The following is a 2264-nucleotide window of genomic DNA, read 5'->3' on the forward strand; positions in this document are numbered from 1 at the left end:
GGGCTCAAACAATCCTTTCGCCTCAGCCTCCCAAAGTGTTGGGATTATAGACATAAGCCACCACACCTGGCCTGTTTTTTAATTTGATGGTGAGAATATTGTCCCAGAAAATCTCTAAGGTCTCTTCCAACTCCGATATTTTGTGATTCTATGAATCTGCTCCTTCCATTACTATATTATTCCCATAAAGTTTTTGACATCATAAGGCTAGTCTGCTATTGGAAAAGTTAAATGTAAATAAGAATTGATTCTTAAACATGTACCCTCAGAAGTAGAAAATTAATTATTGAGTTGCTGTTGAGAGAGCAGGATTACTGATTTAACTCTGCTGCATGATGAATTTTAATATATGTAAAAGATTAAAGTCACGGCACATTTAAGACGAGTAAGAGACAATTTTTTTCTTTCCTGAACCTCATTACCCTTTGGCTATGAGTGTCAGTGAACTCTGTGGGTAGTCCCAAGACTGATTCAGAAGGTGCCAGCAAGGAGAAGAAACAGGTTTGGGAGAGCATTGCTTTTGGAGTCTTGGGACCAGTGTTCTGATTGTCTGTGTGCATGTATAGTGGTATAATTAGTGAGGGATCCTGGAAACATTGAACAGATCCTTTTCCTTCTACTTCAAGAAATCCATGTTTCTCAAAAAGAAAAAGAAACCTGTCTCAGGAAGTGCCATTACATTATTGTAACTATCTAGCAATATAAATACAGAGATTATTTCCTTCTGTTAGGCAACCCTGAAGATGAAAAGATTACCTAGGAGGGCGTCCTTGTAGTTCTTATTGCTAAGATCTAGAATATAGAAGACATAGAAACAAGCATCTCTAAGATTGTGAGTCCAAAATCAGGAGGAATTAAGAAATACGGTAAATTGCAAGTTGCAATTGTGTATTCTGGGATAGCTTCTTTTAACAGCCAAATGCTTCCTCATCGCACTTACCAGGATGTTTGGAAAAAAAAAAAAAAACACTAGCCTCTGAAGTGCCTTTCCATTCTCCAAGTCACCATTTTGCCAGCTCCAATTAGGGCTTTTGGAAATAATGAATGCTCTCACGTTATTCCTGGTTTCAATTTTGACTCTTCCCAAGAGTCCTAGCAATGCACCAGTATGTAAGAAAATACCCCTCTGGGATTGACTCAGTCTCTGGAGGCGCTTCTTCACCTGTGCTGCACCCCTCCCCAATTCATTTCTGTTTCAAAAGGCCATGGATAAATGTTAAATGCCCAATGCTGCAGTGTCATGAAATTCTAAGATTCAAAAAACTTCCGACAGAGCCTAATGCCAGCCAAAACTATGAAAATAGACTTTAACAAGGATAAAGGTAACATCCTGCATTTGGTGCTAAAATGAAAAACCTGACTACACACAGAATAGAGATCAATTTTCATCATGATTCACATGAGAAAGCCCTGAAGATATTAGTGGACTTAAATCCCAGTGTGACCAAGAAATATAATATTGATTAAAATCTATACATTAGGCTGCATAAATAGAAAAACAGCACCCAGCTAAACAGAGATCATCGTCCTCCTGGCCAAATTCACATCCTGTTCAAGAATTCTCATTTTAAGAGGGAGACTGAACAATGGCAAAAGGTCTTAATATAATGTAAAAAGAACTATCAAGAAACTGAGGATGTTTATCCTATAAAGTAGGTGACCACAGAGAGATGTGACAACTAACCCCAATAGTAGGCCCTTCCAGGTTGACTTGTGGGAAGGGAGGAATCAATCCAGTTTTGCTTTGGGAGCAGAACAATGGTCACTTGAGGCTATATGGAGGTAGAAGACTTTTGTCTTAAATGAAGTAGTTTCTAACAATTACAAATTTCCGGGTATATAATTAACTACTTCCTGTAGTGGAAATTCCCTGTCACTATAACAGAATAAGCAGGGAATGTTTAACCACAAGTTAGGATAATAAACACAGGGCATCTAGGGACTAGATACTTCTAAAGTCCATTCTAACCCTAAGAAATACAATTATTATTAATGCTTATTTGTATTTATGACTGCCCGACTTAGCTAGTAAGCGTAGAGGTTAGCACAGACTCTGGAGACAGACTATGTAGGCTCAACTTCCACAAGCCTTCTGCCATCTTAATAATTGGGTGACCTTGAGCAAAGTTACTTTACCTCTCTGTGCTTCACTTGAGGAAACTGAAGTACAGAGAGGTAAGGTAACTTTGCTCAAGGTGGATACTGAATGTACGCATCTCAGGTGGTCTGAAGATTGATTTAGTTAATCAATATGAAGCCAAAGA

The sequence above is a fragment of the Homo sapiens genome, chromosome 4, assembly GCF_000001405.40.
Source record: "Homo sapiens chromosome 4, GRCh38.p14 Primary Assembly".
Taxonomy (NCBI): Eukaryota; Metazoa; Chordata; class Mammalia; order Primates; family Hominidae; genus Homo; species Homo sapiens.